Below are 25,615 nucleotides of genomic sequence, written 5' to 3'. Positions count from 1 at the left end.
GGAGACAATAATACCTTTTAAAAATACATTTATGCTTTTACAGCTTTGAGGAAACCATGCATTTTATAAAATACTGGAGATAGACATGTATAATCTAATTTACCAAGAACTTACCAGTTTTTAATGTGACTACTTTTGTGTTTATAAAATACCATAATATATTCTTACCTTGAGAAGATATTTTAATACATTTCTATTGTTTTCTTTCTTTTAAAATATGATATTAAAATGCCACTCAAAGCTATGATAAAGTAACTTGTGGTAAATCTTCCCTGGAAGACAATTAGAAGAAGAACAAAACAAAATAAAATTAAAAAACAGAAAAAATTATGTTTGAAGACAGGGGAGATTAGCCGATATAACCAGAATTTCAAATGGCAAAACCATGCAGGTGACTGAACAGCACAGAGCGGTAAGCCAACATTCTGAACTGGCTAACTTCCTTTGAGTATTTGCTGATTCTGGGTTGAGGTCAAGAGGCTGAGGATGTGGCAAATAACCCAGGTAAATAGTGCTACTAAGAAAAAAAATCAGTAGAAATTATGGAAGAGTCTTGAGCCCAAAATTTAAAAAACTGGAGACTTGAAAGACTAGGAGTGTGGAGTGTGATAAGTGAGAAACAGATATCAGAGAATCATTCTCTCTGCTAGTTTGACTGTGACAATACGACGAATTCTAAAGCTGTGCAAAAGGAACAGGTTAAAGATAGGCCAAGCAAAAATTTCACAGGATAAAGTTTTAAGCAGTCTCATAGTAACTGGGAGACAAGAGCAAGAATTCAGGAAACACAGGAAGATGGGAGAGGAGCCACTATGACTTCTCTAGCACCTGGAACCCCTGGAAGACTACACCTTGGAGCAGGGAAGGTTGGGGACAAATGACAAATGAACAAATTATTCTCAAAACTGTGACTCAAGATGAAGTCTAGTAGGCCCTTTATTAGATTAAGTGGGTTCACCTACATTCTATCTTCCTAGCAAAGAGGGACAGTAAATTATCCAGCAGCTCTAAATTACTTATTAAATATACAGGTTTTAACTCACAAGTATATCAAGGGATTTAAGAAATAATCAAACATCAGAAAATAGAGTAGAAAAAATATAATCCTAAGTTTATCTATCTCCAAAACTAAATCTGATACTTAGTGTAAATAAATTTCTAGAGCTACAATGAAGGGGACAAAATGTGCAGAAAACACTTCAAACCACTGTTAAAAAAAAAAAAAAAGCAGTAAAATAGCTAAACAGAAAACAAATGTCCCACATGAAAACCTGGGGTAAATTAAATAAATATTATTTATTTAATACAGTCAGAGTATTAAGTGATCTGAAGATACAGCACCATGCCATGAGGTCTGATGTTTCCAAGCCACTCTTAACCATAAATGCAGTGTTTCCCAGGTGGTTGACCTGAAATTAGTCATTGATCATATTCTTTTCAATATTGCAAAAACAGAAATTGAGGAGACATTTGTATCTCTTTACAGATGTTGATTAGCTTGAAAAATACAAAAGTGTGTCCAGCTAGAATAAAGATGAAAAAATATTAAGAATAAGACTTAGCTTGATCTGTTATCTACCAATATATTCTGAACGATTATTTATAACCACATCCATGGATTATTCAGTCCTTTAAATACACTAACGTGTTTTTTGTAGCTGTTCTGTGGAAATTATGCAAAAAAATACTATTGTATCATTTTAGAGTAAAAGTGTCAATAAATGGTGGGGAACACAGCATGTTGAGGGAAGAATACATAGGAAAAGTAGATGCTATAGTTAAATTTTTAATTAGGCATATTTTCATAAAACCATCTAATTAAATTTATTAATTCAATGAAAATTCCAGTAAGCCAAATAATGTTTTTAATTTTAACACTTCCTTATTTTAATCATTTTCTGATCTGACCGTACAATCAAATGTTTCCATTGGTGCCATCAATTTCAATTTCGAAAAAACCTTCTCCTATCTAGAAGTATACATTGTATCTGTCTCTAAAATTTATTTTCCTTTCCATTTTTCAGGCATAAAAATTCTTCCTTCAAGTTTTAAAAAATATAATTGTTAAATAAAATATAAAATTTTTAAATATTATGATTATATAAAATATAATTTATTTTCTCTCCTATTTGTTCAGTTTTCTCCTGTCATCTTTGTCTATTTCTTTTTTTCTTCTTCTTTTTTTTTTATTATACTTTAAGTTTTAGGGTACATGTACACATTGTGCAGGTTAGTTACATATGTATACATGTGCCATGCTGGTGTGCTGCACCCACTAACTCGTCATCTAGCATTAGGTATATCTCTCAATGCTATCCCTCCCCCCTCCCCCGACCCCGCCACAGTCCCCATAGTGTGATAGTCCCCTTCCTGTGTCCATGTGATCTCATCGTTCAATTCCCACCTATGAGTGAGAATATGCGGTGTTTGGTTTTTTGTTCTTGCGATAGTTTACTGAGAATGATGATTTCCAATTTCATCCATGTCCCTACAAAGGACATGAACTCATCATTTTTTATGGCTGCATAGTATTCCATGGTGTATATGTGCCACATTTTCTTAATCCAGTCTATCATTGTTGGACATTTGGATTGGTTCCAAGTCTTTGCTATTGTGAATAGTGCCGCAATAAACATACGTGTGCATGTGTCTTTATAGCAGCATGATTTATAGTCCTTTGGGTATATACCCAGTAATGGGATGGCTGGGTCAAATGGTATTTCTAGTTCTAGATCCCTGAGGAATCGCCACACTGACTTCCACAATGGTTGAACTAGTTTACAGTCCCACCAACAGTGTCAAAGTGTTCCTATTTCTCCACATCCTCTCCAGCACCTGTTGTTTCCTGACATTTTAATGATCGCCATTCTAACTGGTGTGAGATGGTATCTCATTGTGGTTTTGATTTGCATTTCTCTGATGGCCAGTGATGATGAGCATTTTTTCATGTGTTTATTGGCTGCATAAATGTCTTCTTTTGAGAAGTGTCTGTTCATATCCTTCGCTCACTTTTTGATGGGGTTGTTTGTTTTTTTCCTGTAAATTTGTTTGAGTTCATTGTAGATTCTGCATATTAGCACTTTGTCAGATGAGTAGGTTGTGAAAATTTTCTCCCATTTTGTAGGTTGCCTGTTCACTCTGATGGTAGTTTCTTTTGCTGTGCAGAAGCTCTTTAGTTTAATTAGATCCCATTTGTCACTTTTGGCTTTTGTTGCCATTGCTTTTGGTGTTTTGGACATGAAGTCCTTCCCTATGCCTATGTCCTGAATGGTAATGCCTAGGTTTTCTTCTAGGGTTTTTATGGTTTTAGGTCTAACGTTTAAGTCTTTAATCCATCTTGAATTGATTTTTGTATAAGGTGTAAGGAAGGGATCCAGTTTCAGCTTTCTACATATGGCTAGCCAGTTTTCCCAGCACCATTTATTAAATAGGGAATCCTTTCCCCATTTCTTGTTTTTGTCAGGTTTGTCAAAGATCAGATAGTTGTAGATATGTGGCGTTATTTCTGAGGCCTCTGTTCTGTTCCATTGATCTATGTCTCTGTTTTGGTACCAGTACCATGCTGTTTTGGTGACTGTAGCCTTGTAGTATAGTTTGAAGTCAGGTAGCATGATGCCTCCAGCTTTGTTCTTTTGGCTTAGGATTGCCTTGGCGATGCGGGCTCTTTTTTGGTTCCATATGAACTTTAAAGTAGTTTTTTCCAGTTCTGTGAAGAAAGTCATTGGTAGCTTGATGGGGATGGCATTGAATCTGTAAATTACCTTGGGCAGTATGGCCATTTTCACGATATTGATTCTTCCTACCCATGAGCATGGAATGTTCTTCCATTTGTTTGTATCCTCTTTTATTTCCTTGAGCAGTGGTTTGTAGTTCTCCTTGAAGAGGTCCTTCACATCCCTTGTAAGTTGGATTCCTAGGTATTTTATTCTCTTTGAAGCAATTGTGAATGGGAGTTCACTCATGATTTGGCTCTCTGTTTGTCTTTTGTTGGTGTATAAGAATGCTTGTGATTTTTGTACATTGATTTTGTATCCTGAGACTTTGCTGAAGTTGCTTATCAGCTTAAGGAGATTTTGGGCTGAGACAGTGGGGTTTTCTAGATATACAATCATGTCATCTGCAAACACGGACAATTTGACTTCCTCTTTTCCTAATTGAATACCCTTTATTTCCTTCTCCTGCCTAATTGCCCTGGCCAGAACTTCCAACACTATGTTGAATAGGAGTGGTGAGAGAGGGCATCCCTGTCTTGTGCCAGTTTTCAAAGGGAATGCTTCCAGTTTTTGCCCATTCAGTATAATATTGGCTGTGGGTTTGTCATAGATAACTCTTATTATTTTGAAATACGACCCATCAATACCTAATTTATTGAGAGTTTTTAGCATGAAGGGTTGTTGAATTTTGTCAAAGGCTTTTTCTGCATCTATTGAGATAATCATGTGGTTTCTGTCTTTGGCTCTGTTTATATGCTGGATTACATTTATTGATTTGCGTATATTGAACCAGCCTTGCATCCCAGGGATGAAGCCCACTTGATCATGGTGGATAAGCTTTTTGATGTGCTGCTGGATTCGTTTTGCCAGTATTTTATTGAGGATTTTTGCATCAATGTTCATCAAGGATATTGGTCTAAAATTCTCTTTTTTGGTTGTGTCTCTGCCCGGCTTTGGTATCAGAATGATGCTGGCCTCATAAAATGAGTTAGGGAGGATTCCCTTTTTTTCTATTGATTGGAATAGTTTCAGAAGGAATGGTACCAGTTCCTCTTTGTACCTCTGGTAGAATTCGGCTGTGAATCCATCTGGTCCTGGACTCTTTTTGGTTGGTAAACTATTGATTATTGCCACAATTTCAGCTCCCGTTATTGGTCTATTCAGAAATTCAACTTCTTCCTGGTTTAGTCTTGGGAGAGTGTATGTGTCGAGGAATTTATCCATTTCTTCTAGCTTTTCTAGTTTATTTGCGTAGAGGTGTTTGTAGTATTCTCTGATGGTAGTTTGTATTTCTGTGGGATCGGTGGTGATATCCCCTTTATCATTTTTTATTGTGTCTATTTGATTCTTCTCTCTTTTTTTCTTTATTAGTCTTGCTAGCAGTCTATGAATTTTGTTGATCCTTTCAAAAAACCAGCTCCTGGATTCATTAGTTTTTTGAAGGGTTTTTTGTGTCTCTATTTCCTTCAGTTCTGCTCTGATTTTAGTTATTTCTTACCTTCTGCTAGCTTTTGAATGTGTTTGCTCTTGCTTTTCTAGTTCTTTTAATTGTGATGTTAGGGTGTCAATTTTGGATCTTTCCTGCTTTCTCTTGTGGGCATTTAGTGCTATAAATTTCCCTCTACACACTGCTTTGAATGCGTCCCAGAGATTCTGGTATGTTGTGTCTTTGTTCTCGTTGGTTTCAAAGAACATCTTTATTTCTGCCTTCATTTCGTTATGTATCCAGTAGTCATTCAGGAGCAGGTTGTTCAGTTTCCATGTAGTTGAGCGGTTTTGAGTGTGATTCTTAATCCTGAGTTCTAGTTTGATTGCACTGTGGTCTGAGAGATAGTTTGTTATAATCTCTGTTCTTTTACATTTGCTGAGGAGAGCTTTACTTCCAAGTATGTGGTCAATTTTGGAATAGGTGTGGTGTGGCGCTGAAAAAAATGTATATTCTGTTGATTTGGGGTGGAGAGTTCTGTAGATGTCTATTAGGTCTGCTTGGTGCAGAGCTGAGTTCAATTCCTGGGTATCCTCGTTGACTTTCTGTCTCATTGATCTGTCTAATGTTGACAGTGGGGTGTTAAAATCTCCCATTATTAATGTGTGGGAGTCTAAGTCTCTTTGTAGGTCACTCAGGACTTGCTTTATGAATCTGGGTGCTCCTGTATTAGGTGCATATATATTTAGGATAGTTAGCTCCTCTTGTTGAATTGATCCCTTTACCATTATGTAATGGCCTTCTTTGTCTCTTTTGATCTTTGTTGGTTTAAAGTGTGTTTCATCAGAGACTAGGATTGCAACCCCTGTCTTTTTTTGTTTTCCATTTGCTTGGTAGATCTTCCTCCATCCTTTTATTTTGAGCCTATGTGTGTCTCTAACGTGAGATGGGTTTCCTGAATACAGCACACTGATGGGTCTTGACTCTTTATCCAATTTGCCAGTCTGTGTCTTTTAATTGGAGCATTTATTCCATATCCATTTAAAGTTAATATTGTTATGTGTGAATTTGATCCTGTCATTATGATGTTAGCTGGTGATTTTGCCGTTAGTTGATGCAGTTTCTTCCTAGTCTCAATGGTCTTTACATTTTGGCATGATTTTGCAGCGGCTGGTACCAGTTTTTCCTTTCCATGTTTAGCGCTTCCTTCAGGAGCGCTTTTAGGGCAGGCCTGGTGACAAAATCTCTCAGCATTTGCTTGTCTGTAAAGTGTTTTATTTCTCCTTCACTTATGAAGCTTAGTTTGGCTGGATATGAAATTCTGGGTTGAAAATTCTTTTCTTTAAGAATGTTGAATATTGGCCCCCACTCTCTTCTGGCTTGTAGGGTTTCTGCCGAGAGATCCGCTGTTAGTCTGATGGGCTTCCCTTTGAGGGTAACCCGACCTTTCTCTCTGGCTGCCCTTAACATTTTTTCCTTCATTTCAACTTTGGTGAATCTGACAATTATGTGTCTTGGAGTTGCTCTTCTCGAGGAGTATCTTTGTGGCATTCTCTGTATTTCCTGAATCTGAACGTTGGCCTGCCTTGCTAGATTGGGGAAGTTCTCCTGGATAATATCCTGAAGAGTGTTTTCCAACTTGGTTCCATTCTCCCCATCACTTTCAGGTACACCAATCAGATGTAGATTTGGTCTTTTCACATAGTCCCATATTTCTTGGAGGCTTTGCTCGTTTCTTTTTATTCTTTTTTCTCTAAACTTCCCTTCTCGCTTCATTTCATTCATTTCATCTTCCATCGCTGATACCCTTTCTTCCAGTTGATCGCATTGGCTCCTGAGGCTTCTGCATTCTTCACGTAGTTCTCGAGCCTTGGTTTTCAGCTCCATCAGCTCCTTTAAGCACTTCTCTGTATTGGTTATTCTAGTTATACATTCTTCTAAATTTTTTTCAAGTTTTTCAACTTCTTTGCCTTTGGTTTGAATGTCCTCCTGTAGCTCAGAGTAATTTGATTGTCTGAAGCCTTCTTTTCTCAGCTCGTCAAAGTCATTCTCTATCCATCTTTGTTCTGTTGCTGGTGAGGAACTGCGTTCCTTTGGAGGAGGAGAGGCGCTCTGCGTTTTAGAGTTTCCAGTTTTTCTGTTCTGTTTTTTCCCCATCTTTGTGGTTTTATCTACTTTTGGTCTTTGATGATGGTGATGTACAGATGGGTTTTTGGTGTGGATGTCCTTTCTGTTTGTTAGTTTTCCTGCTAACAGACAGGACCCTAAGCTGCAGGTCTGTTGGAATACCCTGCCGTGTGAGGTGTCAGTGTGCCCCTGCTGGGGGGTGCCTCCCAGTTAGGCTGCTCAGGGGTCAGGGGTCAGCGACCCACTTGAGGAGGCAGTCTGCCCATTCTCAGATCTCCAGCTGCGTGCTGGGAGAACCACTGCTCTCTTCAAAGCTGTCAGACAGGGACATTTAAGTCTGCAGAGGTTACTGCTGTCTTTTTGTTTGTCTGTGCCCTGCCCCCAGAGGTGGAGCCTACAGGGGCAGGCAGTCCTCCTTGAGCTGTGGTGGGCTCCACCCAGTTCGAGCTTCCTGGCTGCTGTGTTTACCTAAGCAAGCCTGGGCAATGGCGGGCGCCCCTCCCCCAGCCTTGCTGCTGCCTTGCAGTTTGATCTCAGACTGCTGTGCTAGCAATCAGCGAGACTCCGTGGGCACAGGACCCTCTGAGCTAGGTGCAGGACATAATCTCGTGGTGTGCCATTTTTTAAGCTGGTCCGAAAAGTGCAATATTCGGGTGGGAGTGACCCGATTTTCCAGGTGCGTCCGTCACCCCTTTCTTTGACTCAGAAAGGGAACTCCCTGACCCCTTGCACTTCCCAAGCGAGGCAATGCCTCGCCCTGCTTCGGCTCGCGCACGGTGTGTGCACCCACTGACCTGAGCCCACTGTCTGGCACTCCCTAGTGAGATGAACCCGGTACCTCAGATGGAAATGCAGAAATCACCCGTCTTCTGCGTCACTCACACTGGGAACTGTAGACTGGAGCTGTTCCTATTCGGCCATCTTGGCTCCTCCCCCTGGACTCCATCTTTGTCTATTTCTTTTGCTGAATTTTCTTCTCTTTTTACCTCAATTATATTTTATGATTTTTTGAGGCTACAATGTCAGAAATGCTTTTTGTAACAGTTACTCAACAAGTATTTTTTATGTAACAATTTCTAAGTCATACTGTTCTTTTAAGAATGGTAGTATAAGACCACTTAAGGTGTTTTACTTAAATTTCAAGTGCAGGATTATAGTTTGGAATTATAAAAAAATGTAACTGAAAAACTGATGAAAGAAATGATATCTTCTACTAATAACAGTCATAAAGGAAAATGTCAGTTTTCCTAATAAGAGTTAGTGGTGAGAATAAAGTCAGCGAATGTCATGTGGAAACGTATTTCAATAAACCGATTAAAAAGTTCACACTGAAATTTTTCCCTTTGGTGTTAATATGAATGAAGGAAGAAAGAAGAAAATATAAGCATGACTTCTGAAGTGCCTACTAGAAGATGTGTTTCATGTACATTATTTTGTTAATCCTTACAATAGCCCAGTGAGGTATTACATTTCCACTTTAGAGATGAATAAACAAGGCTCAGAGAGTTTGAGTAACTTTTGCATATTGCAGAGCTTCTAAGTGCTTGCCCAACCAATGAAAGTTCCAGGATTGGAAAAAAAATTGTAAAAGAAAAGTGAGATGATAAATAGAGTGGTAAATTGGAAGGGACTCCAGACTTGGTGTTTAGAAATGTGGATTTGTATCTTGGATCTCCCATTTACTAACTCTGTATTCTTGGGTTAGTCATTCAAACTCTTTTAATCTTGATTTTATTTTTTCTTTAGTTATATTGGAGTTTGAAGAGAACAGAAATAGCTCAACTTTCTTCACCAATGTTCAGAACAAACAAGGGGTAAGGCAGATGGAGAGGATGATGTTATCTTTATTAATAAAACTAAAATTGGAGAATATATCTTCAGTAGACTGGCTAGAAGACCTACCCCATCATGTAGACTTCAAGACAGTGCTCCACCAAGAAGGAGAGAGCAGATAGAGGCTAAATAGTCTCTGTTTTTATAAAATTCAGACAAATGGCTTCATTCACTAATCAGACAACTCATTGCATCTCCGGGGAAAGGTGTGAGGTGTATGGAGTATGGAAAGAGGTCAGGAGTTTTTAGAAGAAGTTCTACCTGAGAAGTCAAGAGGTATGATATTTTACAGGGAAGTTTAAGACATGAGTAGCATGTATGGAATCTATTGATTCCACTCCCAATGAAACACAAATATTTTTTAAGATACATATGGGTATTTTAACAATGTTATAATACATATATCAGAGAAAATTCTTGAGGCCCAAGTAAGATATAAGATAAAAGCACTTTGGAAACTGTAATGTTATTTACAAATGTAAGACACTATTATAATTTACATAAAATATCTTGTCAATTAAACCTCTCTTTCCTTTGACTTTCAGCTGCATCCTTCAAGAACATCCTCCAAGATGTTCTTTAATACAGGTTTTTGACTGAATTGTCAATTGTTTTAAGGAATTAACATTTACTAGGAAACTCTTGTGTGTCAATAACACTGGTTTGCATATGCTTTTAATTTAACATGCAGAAATGTCCTGATAATTTGCAAATAAATCTGTGGCTCAGAGGAGTTATGCAACATGCCCAAATTTACATAGCTAGTATAGGTGTTATCTGGAAAAGCCAGTGGGATGGGGAAATTGGTTGAAGATCATTATTACCCTCTGAATTTTCACTGTGCTGGCGACAGTTGACTAAAAATGTAGTGTTAAGAATAATCTTTAACCAACATTTCCTATCATAAAATTTTAAATTAATATCTATATATTAAAATGCATTTCTAAATGTTAAAATATATTTTAAATATCAAACCAAATGTTTGCTCTTTTCTGGTACAAAAGCTTGATTTTATTGTTTTGCCTCCTTAATGATTTTCAGTGTAACAAATATCCCAATGAGCAAAGGGTAATGCCATTTTTAGTCTTGATTCCTTAAGTTTATTGGCCAGAGAAAGCCATCAGCTGAAGACTGGATTAATTATAATTATTTCTCTTACTTGAGGATGTCTTGGATCATTTGAAATCTGCCAGTGACCCTTTGTGTCTCCACTGTACAGGTTTCCCTTGCCTTTGATTCTTCCATTTTCTCTACACATTATGTGACAATCATTCTAGGGGAAAAACAAATACATTAATGCCATCTTTTGTATCATTTGAATTTAATTATCATTAAAGGTCTCAGAAGGAAGCAGCCAATTTCAACAAATCATGTCAGACACATGTATAAAATTTCCAATGATAATGATGGTATTGAGCCACAGTGGTCACACTGGAGACCTTTCAGAGAATTTTGTGATGTGTAGAAAGATTTAATGTGTTTTACTAGTTTTTAGTTGAAGTCATATTTGCTAAAGGCACAAAAACAGTGAAAATTTAAGAAAGAGTTTATATCATCTTACAGGCTGAAAAAGCTCTGTCTAGGAACAATAAAATGCTAGTACCTGGGCTAGGTTAATTATCAAATTCAAGAATCTAAAATGATGATGTAGTATATATTATGTTAGAGCTCTAGTCAATCATTAACACCACAAATAGGTATCAGCTCTATGAAATCAAATATATAAGTAATTGAGTAGATTTTGTTCATTTTAATTTAAATTTCTGATGTTACTGTATATATAATGATTATCATATGTTTCTGGAGTGCCAGTAGGTGTTAAATCAAAATCTACAATGTATGCCTTAACAAATTGAAAGATGCATTTTTTTCAGTAAGGGATATTGGTAAAGACTGATAGTGGTTACAGGAGTACATAATATGGAAAAGTCGGAAGATAACCTAAAATAATTCAAAGCATCTACATTCATTAGACATTAATATAATCAAAGCACTGTGATAGGTAACATGAGATACCAAAATTGCATGATCTATCACAAAGTGGAACATCAATTTAAAGAGATGATTCAGATAAAGATTTCCATTTTATATTCATACTGTTTAATTGCCTTTGTGGCTTAGGGAACAAGTGAAAAAGATATAGCTAAAACCTCACGGGTCCCCAAAATAAATTTACATATTGTACATTTGCTGATTAATTCATATGACAACAAAAAATTTTAAATGTGCATAAACAAATTTTTGCAAAAATATTTAATCTCCAATTATCCACCCTCCATCTAATGGAAATTACATGTTTACCTCCATAATTTTATTTAAATGTATAAGAAATGCATTAAAAATAAAAGCAGATATTTTCATTTAAATTATAACTGTTCTCAGAGAATGTGTACTATAAAAATTCTTCTAAACAGAACTGGTTAGTTTTCTTTTAAACACATTTTTACATCACCAGCATACATGAAGAAACCCAGAATTTCAAGCAATAGCACACAACACTGTTCACATTATTTACCAACAAATATAATTATTGCTGATGGAAAAATACTAGAAAAAGCATATATATTATTAGCATGTGCTAATCACATAATGTAAAGTTGGCCAGCTTTTCAAATGCATAATACAGCATTAGAGCATTTATTCATTTCTAAATAAAGCTGAAATAGTACATTAGGCATTTTGAGTCATAAGGAACAGACAATGGCTAAGTAACCTGTTAGGCATTTATTATATAAACACAAAAACCCAAACATTTGGGCTTTGGAGGACTGAAACAATAGTTGGAACTGTTCCAGTTACTACGGAGGACTCTTGTGATCCAGAAGAAGTACCGGACACTGATATGCCATCCTATAGCAGCTAGTTTTTGCTTCTGCCCCCCATCTATTGATTTCACCATAATGACAACTGAGCTCTTTACTATTTTTAATCCCACTGTCTGTACCTCTAAAACAGTCTCTGATTCTCCTCCTCGCTCCTGAAATCGACATGTAACAAAAATGAGAGTATGAATGAATATCATTAGTCATTACCCCATAAGGAGCAGTTCTCAAGCCAAGTCACTTCATATCTAGCTACATAGAGAATGTTGGCTGTAGGGTTGGGTTAATGAATGTCTTGCATGAAAACCAAAGTATATGATAAAATTATAGGTGAATTATAAAGAAGAAGCTGCTGTGGTCACATTATTCAGATGGAAGCATAGTCCCCTAGGGTACTTCGTGTGTCATGAACTTATCTCCTGTAAAATCGTACAAAGGTTATATATTAGACAGATTGTAAAAATGACTAAAGAAAATGCAACTTTTTAATGGGGTTTCAGTCTCAAGCCATTATTCATATGTATTTAAGTAGGATCTTATTTAAACTATCCTCATAAGGGTTTGGGTTATTCTTCCTAGTTAGGTTTATAAGATTTCCCCTGCTAAAACATTCAGCCTTTGATCTATCATGGGTCATAAAAAAAAACTCTTGAAAATATGTAGTCAGCTTAACTCACTACTTCTCCTTAAAGGGTCATGTACCATTTTACCAAGGAGAGTTTATTTGTCTATCTATCTATCTATCACATATCAACTATATCTATATATAAGCATATATATACATTTAATATTACAGAAATCTAGATCATGTGTCATAGATATTTAAATAGTGGGAAAAAATCAAGTTTTTACAAAAGATGGGAAAATTCTAGAAGGCATGACCTAGGCACTTCATAGCACAAAAAAGCAATTGTTTGGATAATTCAATCAGTTGTCTTAACCTTTTTTTTAAATGTGAGATTCTTTATTTGTTTATGTTAAATCCTATTATTGAATTGAAAATTCATGTTTTACATCTAAGAAACCAAACATTTTTGTAAGCAACATTTTTCTCCCAGTTAAAAAATAATCCCTTTTTAAGGTATAATATATTGTAAAATTCTTTTTATTATTATTATTATTATACTTTAAGTTTTAGGGTACATGTGCACAATGTGCGGGTTAGTTACATATGTATACATGTGCCATGCTGGTGTGCTGCACCCATTAACTCATCATTTAGCATTAGGTATATCTCCTAATGCTATCCCTCCCCACTACCCCCAGCCCACAACAGTCCCCAGAGTGTGATGTTCCCCTTCCTGTGTCCATGTGTTCTCATTGTTCATTTCCCATCTATGAGTGAGAACATGCGGTGTTTGCTTTTTTGTCCTTGCAATAGTTTACTGAGAATGATGATTTCCAATTTCATCCATGTCCCTACAAAGGACATGAACCCATCATTTTTTATGGCTGCATAGTATTCCATGGTGTATATGTGCCACATTTTCTTAATCCAGTCTATCATTGTTAGACATTTGGGTTAGTTCCAAGTCTTTGCTATTGTGAATAGTGCTGCAATAAACATAAGTATGCATGTGTCCTTATTGCAGCATGATTTATAGTCCTTTGGGTATATACCCAGTAATGGGATGGCTGGGTCAAATGGTATTTCTAGTTCTAGATCCCTGAGGAATCGCCACACTGACTTCCACAATGGTTGAACTAGTTTACAGTCCCACCAACAGTGTCAAAGTGTTCCTATTTCTCCACATCCTCTCCAGCACCTGTCGTTTCCTGACTTTTTAATGATTGCCATTCTAACTGGTGTGAGATGGTATCACATTGTGGTTTTGATTTGCATTTCTCTGATGGCCAGTGATGATGAGCATTTTCTCATGTGTCTTTTGGCTGCATAAATGTCTTCTTTTGAGAAGTGTCTGTTCATATCCTTTGCCCACTTTTTGATGGGGCTGCTTTTTCCTTGTAAATGTGTTTGAGTTCATTGCAGATTCTGGATATTAGCCCTTTGTCAGATGAGTAGGTTGCGAAAATTTTCTCCCATTTTGTAGGTTGCCTGTTCACTCTGATGGTAGTTTCTTTTGCTGTGCAGAAGCTCTTTAGTTTAATTAGATCCCATTTGTCAATTTTGGCTTTTGTTGCCATTGCTTTTGGTGTTTTAGACATGAAGTCCTTGCCCATGCCTATGTCCTGAATGGTAATGCCTAGGTTTTCTTCTAGGGTTTTTATGGTTTTAGGTCTAACGTTTAAGTCTTTAATCCATCTTGAATTGATTTTTGTATAAGGTGTAAGGAAGGGATCCAGTTTCAGCTTTCTACATATGGCTAGCCAGTTTTCCCAGCACCATTTATTAAATAGGGAATCCTTTCCCCATTGCTTGTTTTTGTCAGGTTTGTCAAAGATCAGATAGCTGTAGATATGTAGAGTTATTTCTGAGGGCTCTGTTCTGTTCCATTGATCTATATCTCTGTTTTGGTACCAGTACCATGCTGTTTTGGTGACTGTAGCCTTGTAGCATAATTGGAAGTCAGGTAGCATGATGCCTCCAGCTTTGTTCTTTTGGCTTAGGATTGACTTGGCGATGTGGGCTCTTTTTTGGTTCCATATGAACTTTAAAGTAGTTTTTTCCAATTCTGTGAAGAAAGTCATTGGTAGCTCGATGGCGATGGCATTGAATCTATAAATTACCTTGGGCAGTATGGCCATTTTCACGATATTGATTCTTCCTACCCATGAGCATGGAATGTTCTTCCATTTGTTTGTATCCTCTTTTATTTCCTTGAGCAGTGGTTTGTAGTTCTCCTTGAAGAGGTCCTTCACATCCCTTGTAAGTTGGATTCCTAAGTATTTTATTCTCTTTGAAGCAATTGTGAATGGGAGTTCACTCATGATTTGGCTCTCTGTTTGTCTGTTATTGGTGCATAAGAATGCTTGTGATTTTTGTACATTGATTTTGTATCCTGAGACTTTGCTGAAGTTGCTTATCAGCTTAAGGAGATTTTGGGCTGAGACAGTGGGGTTTTCTAGATATACAATCATGTCGTCTGCAAACAGGGACAATTTGACTTCCTCTTTTCCTAATTGAATACCCTTTATTTCCTTCTCCTGCCTAATTGCCCTGGCCAGAACTTCCAACACTATGTTGAATAGGAGCGGTGAGAGAGGACATCCCTGTCTTGTGCCAGTTTTCAAAGGGAATGCTTTCAGTTTTTGCCCATTCAGTATGATATCGGCTGTGGGTTTGTCATAGATAGCTCTTATTATTTTGAGATACATCCCATCAATACCTGATTTATTGAGAGTTTTTAGCATGAAGGGTTGTTGAATTTTGTCAAAGGCCTTTTCTGCATCTATTGAGATAATCATGTGGTTTTTGTCTTTGGTTCTGTTTCTATGCTGTATTACATTTATTGATTTGCGTATATTGAACCAGCCTTGCATCCCAGGGATGAAGCCCACTTGATCATGGTGGATAAGCTTTTTGATGTGCTGCTGGATTCGGTTTGCCAGTATTTTATTGAGGATTTTTGCATTGATGTTCATCAAGGATATTGGTCTAAAATTCTCTTTTTTGGTTGTGTCTCTGCCAGGCTTTGGTCTCAGGATGATGCTGGCCTCAAAATGAATTAGGGAGGATTCCCTCTTTTTCTACTGATTGGAATAGTTTCAGAAGGAATGGTACCAGCTCCTCCTTGTATCTCTGGTAGAATTCGGCTGTGAATCCATCTGGTCCTGGACTCTTTTTGGTTGGTAAGCTATTGATTATTGCCACAATTTCAGAGCCTGTTATTGGTCTATTCAGAGATTCAACTTCTTCCTGGTTTAGTCTTGGGAGAGTGTATGTGTCGAGGAATTTATCCATTTCTTCTGGATTTTCTAGTTTATTTGCGTAGAGGTGTTTGTAGTATTCTCTGATGGTAGTTTGTATTTCTGTGGGATCAGTGTTGATATCCCCTTTATCATTTTTTATTGCACCTATTTGATTCTTCTCTCTCTTTTTCTTTATTAGTCTTGCTAGCGGTCTATCAATTTTGCTGATCCTTTCAAAAAACCAGCTCCTGGATTCATTAATTTTTTGAAGGGTTTTTTTTGTCTCTATTTCCTTCAGTTCTGCTCTGATTTTAGTTATTTCTTGCCTTCTGCTAGCTTTTGAATGTGTTTGCTCTTGCTTTTCTAGTTCTTTTAATTGTGATGTTAGGATGTCAATTTTGGATCTTTCCTGCTTTCTCTTGTGGACACTTAGTGCTATAAATTTCCCTCTACACACTGCTTTGGATGTGTCCCAGAGATTCTGGTATGTTGTGTTTTTGTTCTCGTTGGTTTCAAAGAACATCTTTATTTCTGCCTTCATTTCGTTATGTACCCAGTAGTCATTCAGGAGCAGGTTGTTCAGTTTCCACGTAGTTGAGCAGTTTGAGTGAGTTTCTTAATCCTGCATTCTAGTTTGATTGCACTGTAGTCTGAGAGACAGTTTGTTATCATTTCTGTTCTTTTACATTTGCTGAGGAGAGCTTTACTTCCAAGTATGTGGTCAATTTTGGAATAGGTGTGGTGTGGTGCTGAAAAAAATGTATATTCTGTTGATTTGGGGTGGAGAGTTCTGTAGATGACTATTAGGTCTGCTTGGTGCAGAGCTGAATTCAATTCCTGGATATCCTTGTTAACTTTCTGTCTCATTGATCTGTCTAATGTTGACAGTGGGGTGTTAAAGTCTCCCATTATTATTGTGTGGGAGTCTAAGTCTCTTTGTAGGACACTCAGGACTTGCTTTATGAATCTGGGTGCTCCTGTATTGGGTGCATATATATTTAGGATAGTTAGCTCTTCTTGTTGAATTGATCCCTTTATCATTATGTAATGGCCTTCTTTGTCTCTTTTGATCTTTGTTGGTTTAAAGTCTGTTTTATCAGAGACTAGGATTGCAACCCCTGCCTTTTTTTGTTTTCCATTTGCTTGGTAGATCTTCCTCCATCCTTTTATTTTGAGCCTGTGTGTGTCTCTGCACGTGAGAAGGGTTTCCTGAATACAGCACACTGATGGGTCTTGACTCTTTATCCAATTTGCCAGTCTGTGTCTTTTAATTGGAGCATTTATTCCATATCCATTTAAAGTTAATATTGTTATGTGTGAATTTGATCCTGTCATTATGATGTTAGCTGGTGATTTTGCTCATTAGTTGATGCAGTTTCTTCCTAGCATTGATGGTCTTTACATTTTGGCATGTTTTTGCAGTGGCTGGTACCGGTTTTTCCTTTCCATGTTTAGTGCTTCCTTCCTGAGCTCTTTTAGGGCAGGCCTGGTGGTTACAAAATATCTCAGCATTTGCTTCTCTGTAAAGAATTTTATTTCTCGTTCACTTATGAAGCTTAGTTTGACTGGATATGAAATTCTGGGTTAAAAATTCTTTTCTTTAAGAATGTTGAATATTGGCCCCCACTCTCTTCTGGCTTGTAGAGTTTCTGCCAAGAGATCTGCTGTTAGTCTGATGGGCTTCCCTTTTTGGGTTACCCGATCTTTCTCTCTGGCTGCCCTTAACATTTTTTCCTTCATTTCAACTTTGGTGAATCTGACAATTATGTGTCTTGGAGTTGCTCTTCTCGAGGAGTATCTTTGTGGCGTTCTCTGTATTTCCTGAATGTGAATGTTGGCCTGCCTTGCTAGATTGGGGAAGTTCTCCTGGATAATATCCTGCAGAGTGTTTTCCAACTTGGTTCCATTCTCCCTGTCACTTTCAGGTATGCCAATCAGACGTAAATTTGGTCTTTTCACATAGTCCCATATTTCTTGGAGGCTTTGTTCGTTTCTTTTTATTCTTTTTTCTCTAAACTTCCCTTCTCGCTTCATTTCATTCAGTTCATCTTCCATCACTGATACCGTTTCTTCCAGTTGATAGCATTGGCTCCTGAGGCTTCTGTATTCTTCACGTAGTTCTCGAGCCTTGGCTTTCAGCTCCATCAGCTCCTTTAAGCACTTCTCTGCATTGGTTATTCTAGTTATACATTCGTCTAAAGTTGTTTCATAGTTTTCAACTTCTTTGCCTTTGGTTTGAATTTCCTCCTGTAGGTCGGAGTAGTTTGATCGTCTGAAGCCTTCTTCTCTCTACTCGTCAAAGTCATTCTCCATCCAGCTTTGTTCCGTTGCTGGTGAGGAGCTGCATTCCTTTGGAGGAGGAGAGGTGCTCTGCTTTTTAGAGTTTCCAGTTTTTCTGTTCTGTTTTTTCCCCATCTTTGTGGTTTTATCTACTTTTGGTCTTTGATGATGGTGATGTACAGATGGGTTTTTGGTGTGGAAGTCCTTTCTGTTTGTTAGTTTTCCTTCTAACAGACAGGACCCTCAGCTGCAGGTCTGTTGGAGCTCGCTAGAGGTCCACTCCAGACCCTGTTTGCCTGGGTATCAGCAACGTTGTCTGTAGAACCGCGGATTTTCGTGAACTGCGAATGCTGCTATCTGATCACTCCTCTGGAAGTTTTGTCTCAGAGGAGTACCTGGCCGTGTGAGGTGTCAGTCTGCCCCTACTAGGGGGGTGCCTCCCAGTTAGGCTGCTCGGGGGTCAGGGGTCAGGGACCCACTTGAGGAGGCAGTCTGTCTGTTCTCAGATCTCCAGCTGCGTGCTGGGAGAACCACTGCTCTCTTCAAAGCTGTCAGACAGGGACATTTAGGTCCACAGAGCTTACTGCTGTCTTTTTGTTTGTCTGTGCCCTGCCCCTAGAGGTGGAGCCTACAGAGGCAGGCAGGTCTCCTTGAGCTGTGGTGGGCTCCACCCAGTTCGAGATTCCTGGCTGCTTTGTTTATCTAAGCAAGCCTGGGCAATGGCGGGCGCCCCTCCCCCAGCCTTGCTGCTGCCTTGTAGTTTGATCTCAGACTGCTGTGCCAGCAATCAGCAAGACTCCATGGGCGTAGGACCCTCCAAGCCACGTGCGGAATATAATTTCCTTGTGCGCCAGTTTCCTAAGCCCGTCGGAAAAGCGCAGTATTCGGGTGGGAGTGACCTGATTTTCCAGGTGCCGTCTGTCACCCCTTTCCTTGACCAGGAAAGGGAACTCCCTGACCCCTTGCGCTTCCCGAGTGAGGCAATGCCTCGCCCTTCTTTGGCTTGCACACGGTACGCTGCACCCACTATCCTTCGCCCACTGTCTGGCACTCCATAGTGAGATGAATCCGGTACCTCAGATGGAAATGCAGAAATCACCCGTCTTCTGCGTCGCTCATGCTGGGAGCTGTAGACCGGAGCTCTTCCTATTCAGCCATCTTGGCTCCTCCTCACATCGTAAAATTCTTTAAATTAAGTAAATTTTCATGTTCCTAGATAAACATTCTTGGTTAGCAAGTAACAAATGTCATGTTTCTATAAGAAAATATACCTTTATGAGTTGTTGCCTTCCATTGTATGATGTTTATTTCATGTCCATTGCCCTCACTAAACTGTAAGTTTTTGAGACTCTGAGTAATATCTTTAATCTCTATACTGCCAGTGCCTATATTTAATACATGCTACTTTCTTAATTTAGTTGTTATGAAAAATAAATGACTTCAATAATAAGCAGAATTACACACATTTAGATTATTAGATTTCATCTTTGCATTAAGTCAAAGACTACAGGTGACCTTTAAAAAAGCAATTGGTGGGTGAAGAGAAGTTGCTGAAAGTAACATGGACCTTCATGAAATTCTTCATGAAGGGAAGAATGAAGAGATAGTTGAGTTAGTGCAAGATTGACAAGAAGACTTTAATTGTTTGAGGATAATGAAAATGCAATCTGTGTTTATAGAGCAGAATGAGCAGGTAAAGCAGGAGAATTTGAAGAGTTGAGAAAAATAGGAGCTATCCTTTTCAGAAAAGATAAATCTAGCAGGAGGCAAAAGAGAAAGGATCAAGAGGAAAAGAGGACACAAGAAGGAATTCTTCCTTCTTTAAGATGAAATTGATGGTAATAAGAACATACTTTGAATAAATGAATTCAGTTACATCACTGAATACAATATTATGTTATTATTCTATCTTATTTCATTGATTAATAGGAAAAAGAATTAAAACATTATTTTAAAATCATTTATTGTCTCTGACAGCCACCAAATTCTTAGTTCATTTGTGTTTATACACACACACACACACACACACACACACACACACACACACACATATATATATTCTCTTTTCTGGAAAAACGTTACATAAATGGTGAGCTTTCATATGCAATTTTAAAAATCAGTGAACATGGCAGCTAATATAGTTAAAATTAGATATTATGAGCCTTTTCTGTAAGGTCATTTAAACATGAAGGCTTCTGTGTCAGCAGCTTACTCATGCTGTTACATAAATGAATAAGCTCGAAAACAGAAATAGCTTCCTTCATACACAATTTTAGTTTCCCTTTTTTCTTAATAGATCTTGGTTTAGACAAGACAACCAAGCAAATAAAAAGCATTTCAGCATAAATTATCCAGAAATATATTTATAAATACACAAAGATACATAAACACACAGACACACATACACACACATCATTACAATTTTGAAGATTCTGTTTTCCAAAAACAAGAAAGCCTCTGACACTAAGCAAATAGGCCATGGTTGATTCACTGTAGCAAAACTCTATATTCACTCAGTGGCTTTCACTGGGAAGCTAATGCAAAAAAGCTGTCTCTGAAATATTACAGTGAAAAGCCCATACCACGCTGAAGAGAAGCAGTAAAAACCCTACTCCAATGTTGGAGACAAAGCATCCCACCAAAACAGCATTTAGTCCTAATTACCTTTGAAACCTCTGAGCGGGTCCACCACAGCTACCAGGCTCAGATTTTTCAGAGATATTTTATCCAGCTCTTTTTTGTCACCTACACTTGCATTCAAAGCTAAATGCACAAATAGTAAGAATAACCCTGAGTTCCTACTCATACTGCATAGCCAGCCATTAGCATCACAAGGTCTGATGCAATTTCTGCCTCCTGAACTTAGACATGAAAACAGAAGACATACAGCAGGGCTCCTGCACAATGGTGCTATGAGCTGTCAGTGTGGGATGTGAACAAGAGTTACCAAGGGACTACCAAGGCATGCCCTTCCTTCTGCCACATGTCATAGAGACTCTTGGGAAGGATTCCTTTAGCAGAAGCCAGCTGTTGCCTTTTGGCATTGGGAGTGATGTTGTTGGAGGCGATAATGATTGTCAGACTGTATGGGGCTAAAAGCCAACATGTACTGATGTACATGAAGGGGCCCACATGATCTTCTGTACAAGGTTGGATGCTAGGACCAGTCTCTGTGCTGAAGAATCTGAAAGGACTTATATGTCCTGCAGCCAATATCAGACAAGCAATTAATTTTAGCTGGATCTAACTGTGAACAACTCTCTGCATTTACAGACATATGTTCAACAGCACTATAATCAATTTGTGAAATTAATAACTAAGCTGATAACTAAATCCAGGGGTTTGGCTCAGAGTTCTTAACACCCAAGAAAGCTTCCTATGCTAGAAGATGATACTTCTTATGGGTCTAGAGTGTCACTAACTACTTGCAAAGCCCTCAAGCATATTTATGCATAGTGAACTTGCTAAAATGTAGGAAACTTGTATCTTGTCATATTATTATTTATTCTGTCTATGGCAGTTAATGGAACTTCAGTTTAGAATGGAAATTATTGCTATTTGTTTTAAATCTTTTAAATAAAAAATAAAGACTGCCTTTTTATTTTTAAAGAGAAACCTTCTGGTCATATATGTAACATACATATGCAGCTATAATCATTATACAATTTCATCTAATTTGGTTACAAATGCAATTCAACTAAAGAGTGATATAAGTTATATGACTTTACTTTTTAAGAAAAAAATGGAACTAGAGCGGCTAATCATAGATTATGTAGACCTTATTAGTTGCATTCTGCTATATCTTATAACATTTTTATTTAACCCCAGAACTTGTTCATTTTATAATATTTAGGCAGAGATATTATTTGCTATATCTGTGGATAACTGTGAAATTATAATTAATTTGAGAGTTTTTATTATTATTCCATTCACTTTCTTATTTGATAGTGTTGACTAAAATGATGATGATAGTGATTCTATAATGTCTCCAGGACAATATAATGTTATAGCAGGGATTCAGAAAAATGAATTTTCTTAAATAGTTTATGCAAAATATGAATGATAATGATAAATAATAAATACCATCAATGGTATCCAGAATGGCAAGACAGGAAAGGCTTGATCCAGGGTGCAAGTGTCTTCAACTGGCACAAAATGATTTCTCTAATTTTGTTGGAGATACAGAATATGTAGCATTATAAGCTGAGAAACAAAGCCCAGTTATCTCACACAGGGGCTTTTACATCTGTCTGCTTTAAACAAGTATCTGTGAAATTTGTGAAATTTATACAAAGCGATCAGCCAATAACTCATGATATTCATTAAAACTGTACAGGATTCTACATAATGAAAAGCGATAATTTTTAAATAAAAACATTATTATTGTTTTGTACTTGCAAAATGATAAAGGAATCCTTTCATAGCCATAATAGAAATTACTAGGATGGCTAATTTTTTAAAAATTATAAAAGATTTATTTATTCCACTTAAATTTCCTTCTCTGCACATTATAATGCTTTATTTTTTTGAGACAGATCTGTATCTTCCTGAAATCTTGAGTGAAGAAAGTATGTAATATTTGTGAAGAATATTACTAGAAAGAAGTAAAGGGATGTTTTAATGCTCTATGCCATGCAAATATCACATCTTAAAGAACCTGTGACGCTCTCCTCGAGCACTCACGCTCTGGACAGGGTTTGGAGATAAACCCATTTATAATGGCATATTTGGTCAAAAGTAAAGTAAGAAGCAAATAAAATATTCTAATACAATGTCAGAACAAACATATGAATGCATAGAAAAGAAAGTATCAAATGAGTCGTGGGATAAAGAAAATTTCACAACAATATTACCTAAATGAGATCTTGAGAACTTACTTTCCAGATCTCTTCTAGGAAACTGGAGTCAATGAGCCAAAATTCAATCTCCTTAGTAATGTGCTTTCAAAAATAGCAAAACTGGCCTGCTATTACTAGGGCATTAGGTTCGCATACATGTTCTAGGAATGGCAATTTTTTGCACCAACTTATTCACTATTTTTGTCCCTATTATAGTCTGTAATTTCACACTCTTAAGACTCCAGTTTGCAGCTTATAGCAATGGGTAACAATAGAAAAACTCTGTCTTTTTTAATTGCAATTTTTCTCAGCACACTGAAGCCCATCTCCAGCCAAACAAGGACAATCTTTGTGTTAAGCTTTTACACTGACAGGAATATTAGAAGGCCTAAACCTTGACAGACTCCTATGACCCAATTTTTGAGCCTGATCTAACGATCTGCTTGTAGATATTTCTGATGACTAACTTTCCCAAATCATACACATTTAATTGCCTATTTCCAGGCTCTTCTTTTTCTGTGAAGTTTTTTTGTAATTTAAAATAATTTTAAATGGAAAAGTTACAGAGATTGACACAGAACGTTCTCTATACTTGTATTGGCTTCCTAGCCAAGATTAGTGCCTTTCAACAACAAAAACTTATTATTTTACAATATCTTAGGCTTCTGGAGGCCAGAAGTCTAAAATGGGTCCATAGGCCTGCGTTTCTTCTGGAGTTCTGTATTTCCTGGTTCAGGACTTCATCGTCCACCCGCAAAGCCAGCAACGTAGCATGTTCTCTCCTCTCTAGTGCCTGCTTCTGTCCCTACATCTTTTCTGCCTGACTCTGACCCTCCTACCTCCCTCTTACTAGGATCCTTGTGATTACATTGGGCCCACTGGATAATCCAGGATAATCTCCATCTATAGCTCAAAATCTTTAGCTAAATTACAATTGTAACTTTTTTCTTTTTTGCCATGAAAACGACATATTAACAGATTCTGAGAATTAGGATATGGACATTTTGAAGGGAGTCATTATTTTTCCCACCACAATCCTGTACCAAGATTCACTAATTTTTCACCTTTTGCCCTATTTTCTTTATAAGCCTCATTCTCACTCGATCTTGCCTCACCCTCTCTCTCTCGAGTGATATACATTAACAGCTATCAGATCATTTACCAAATTTACCTTATAATAATCCAGTGTGTTTCATAAGAACTAGGATATGGCCGGGTGTAGTGGCTCACACCTGTAATCCCAGCACTTTGGGAGGCCAAGGCAGGTGGATCACAAGGTCAGGAGATCGAGACCAGCCTAAGCCAACAGGTGAAACCCTGTCTGTACTAAAAATACAAAAATTAGCCAGGTGTGGTGGCATGTGCTTGTAATCCCAGCTACTTGAGAGGCTGAGGCAGGAGAATTTCTTGAACCTGGGAGGCAGCGGTTGCAGTGACCTGAGATCACACCACTGCGCTCTAGCCTGGGCAACAGAGCAAGACTCCATCTCAAAAAGAAAAGAAAAAAAAAAAAGAACTGGAATACATAACCACAGTACAATTAAAATATTCAGAAAATGTAACATTGACATAAGACTTTAATCTATAGTCCATATTCCAGTTTGTTCAATTATTCTCATAATGATTTGTTATGGAACTTGTCTCCTTCTGGCATAGGATTATGAATTGTATTTTGTTGTCTTGTCTCTTTAGTATCCTTTAATTGGGAATGAATTCTCAGCTAATCTTTGTCTCTTACACTATTGAGGAACAGAGATCATTTATTTAATGGACCATGCATCGCTTTGAATTTTTTCTGAGGTTTCTGAGGTTAGGCATCCATAGACAGAAAACTACAAAACTGATCTCTCCTCAAAGTGTCATATACAGAGGAACAAAACGTTTTCGTGCCCTTCATTCATGACATTATCACTGTTAGCAGAATTTTTAGCATATTATTTATACACAATCATATTCACAACTTTCAAATGTGAAATCTGATCAGTTTTGGCAAATGTATACAACTGTTTAAACCATCACCAGAATCAAGAAATAGAATGCCTCCAGCACCCTCCAAAATGGTCTCCTACCCCTTCTTCAGCAGACAATTACCTCCCCCATCCCTTGCCCCTGACAAACTTAAAACCATTCATTTGCTTTCTCTCACTATAGTTTGTCTTTTCTAGAATGTCACAGAAATGAAATCATGTAGTACATGAGCATTTGTTCCTGGCTTCTATCACTTAGCATAATGTTCTTGAGATCTATTCATATTTCTTCACCTAGTAGTGGTTTTGTTGTCATTGTTTTGCTGAGCAGTATCCTGTCTTATTGATATGCCACTATTTATTTATTCATTAGCCAGTTAAACATCAAATTTCTTACATATTTTGGTTATTTTAAATAAAGCTGCTATGAACATTCAAGTGCGAATCTTTGTGTGGCAATGTTTGCTCACTTCTGTAAGGCAAATACCTAACAGTGGAATTTCTGGTAAATGAATATTTGCCTTTATCAGAAAACGCCAAATGGCTTCCCGAACCAAATATAGCAGTTTGCATTTCTACTAACTAGGTATATGTGTATGAGAGTGCTAGTTGTTCTAATCTTCAGCAGCAATTGATATTGATAATGTCAACCTTCTTAAATTTTAACGAAGCAAATGAGTGCACAATGATATCTCATTGTGGTTTTCACTTTCATTTCCCTTATGATTAAAAATGTTGAACATCTTTTTATGTGATTATTTAATATCCATTCATCTATCTTCTCTGATTATATGATTGT

At 37.4% G+C, this 25,615-nt stretch overlaps 1 long non-coding RNA gene across 1 annotated transcript in view; it reads right to left on the bottom strand.

Moving 5' to 3' along the window:
- Nucleotides 1-25,615, bottom strand: part of LOC101927960 (uncharacterized) — a 282,946-nt gene that overhangs the window by 5,764 nt on the left and 251,567 nt on the right. The window contains exon 4 of the long non-coding RNA NR_136588.1: nt 169-272. This is a non-coding gene — a long non-coding RNA (uncharacterized LOC101927960). The remainder of the gene's footprint in view (nt 1-168; nt 273-25,615) is intronic.

Source organism: Homo sapiens, chromosome 2 (genome assembly GCF_000001405.40).
Source record: "Homo sapiens chromosome 2, GRCh38.p14 Primary Assembly".
Lineage (NCBI taxonomy): Eukaryota > Metazoa > Chordata > Mammalia > Primates > Hominidae > Homo > Homo sapiens.
The sequence above is the reverse complement of the archived record's forward strand: the minus strand, read 5'-3'. Positions and strand labels throughout refer to the sequence as shown.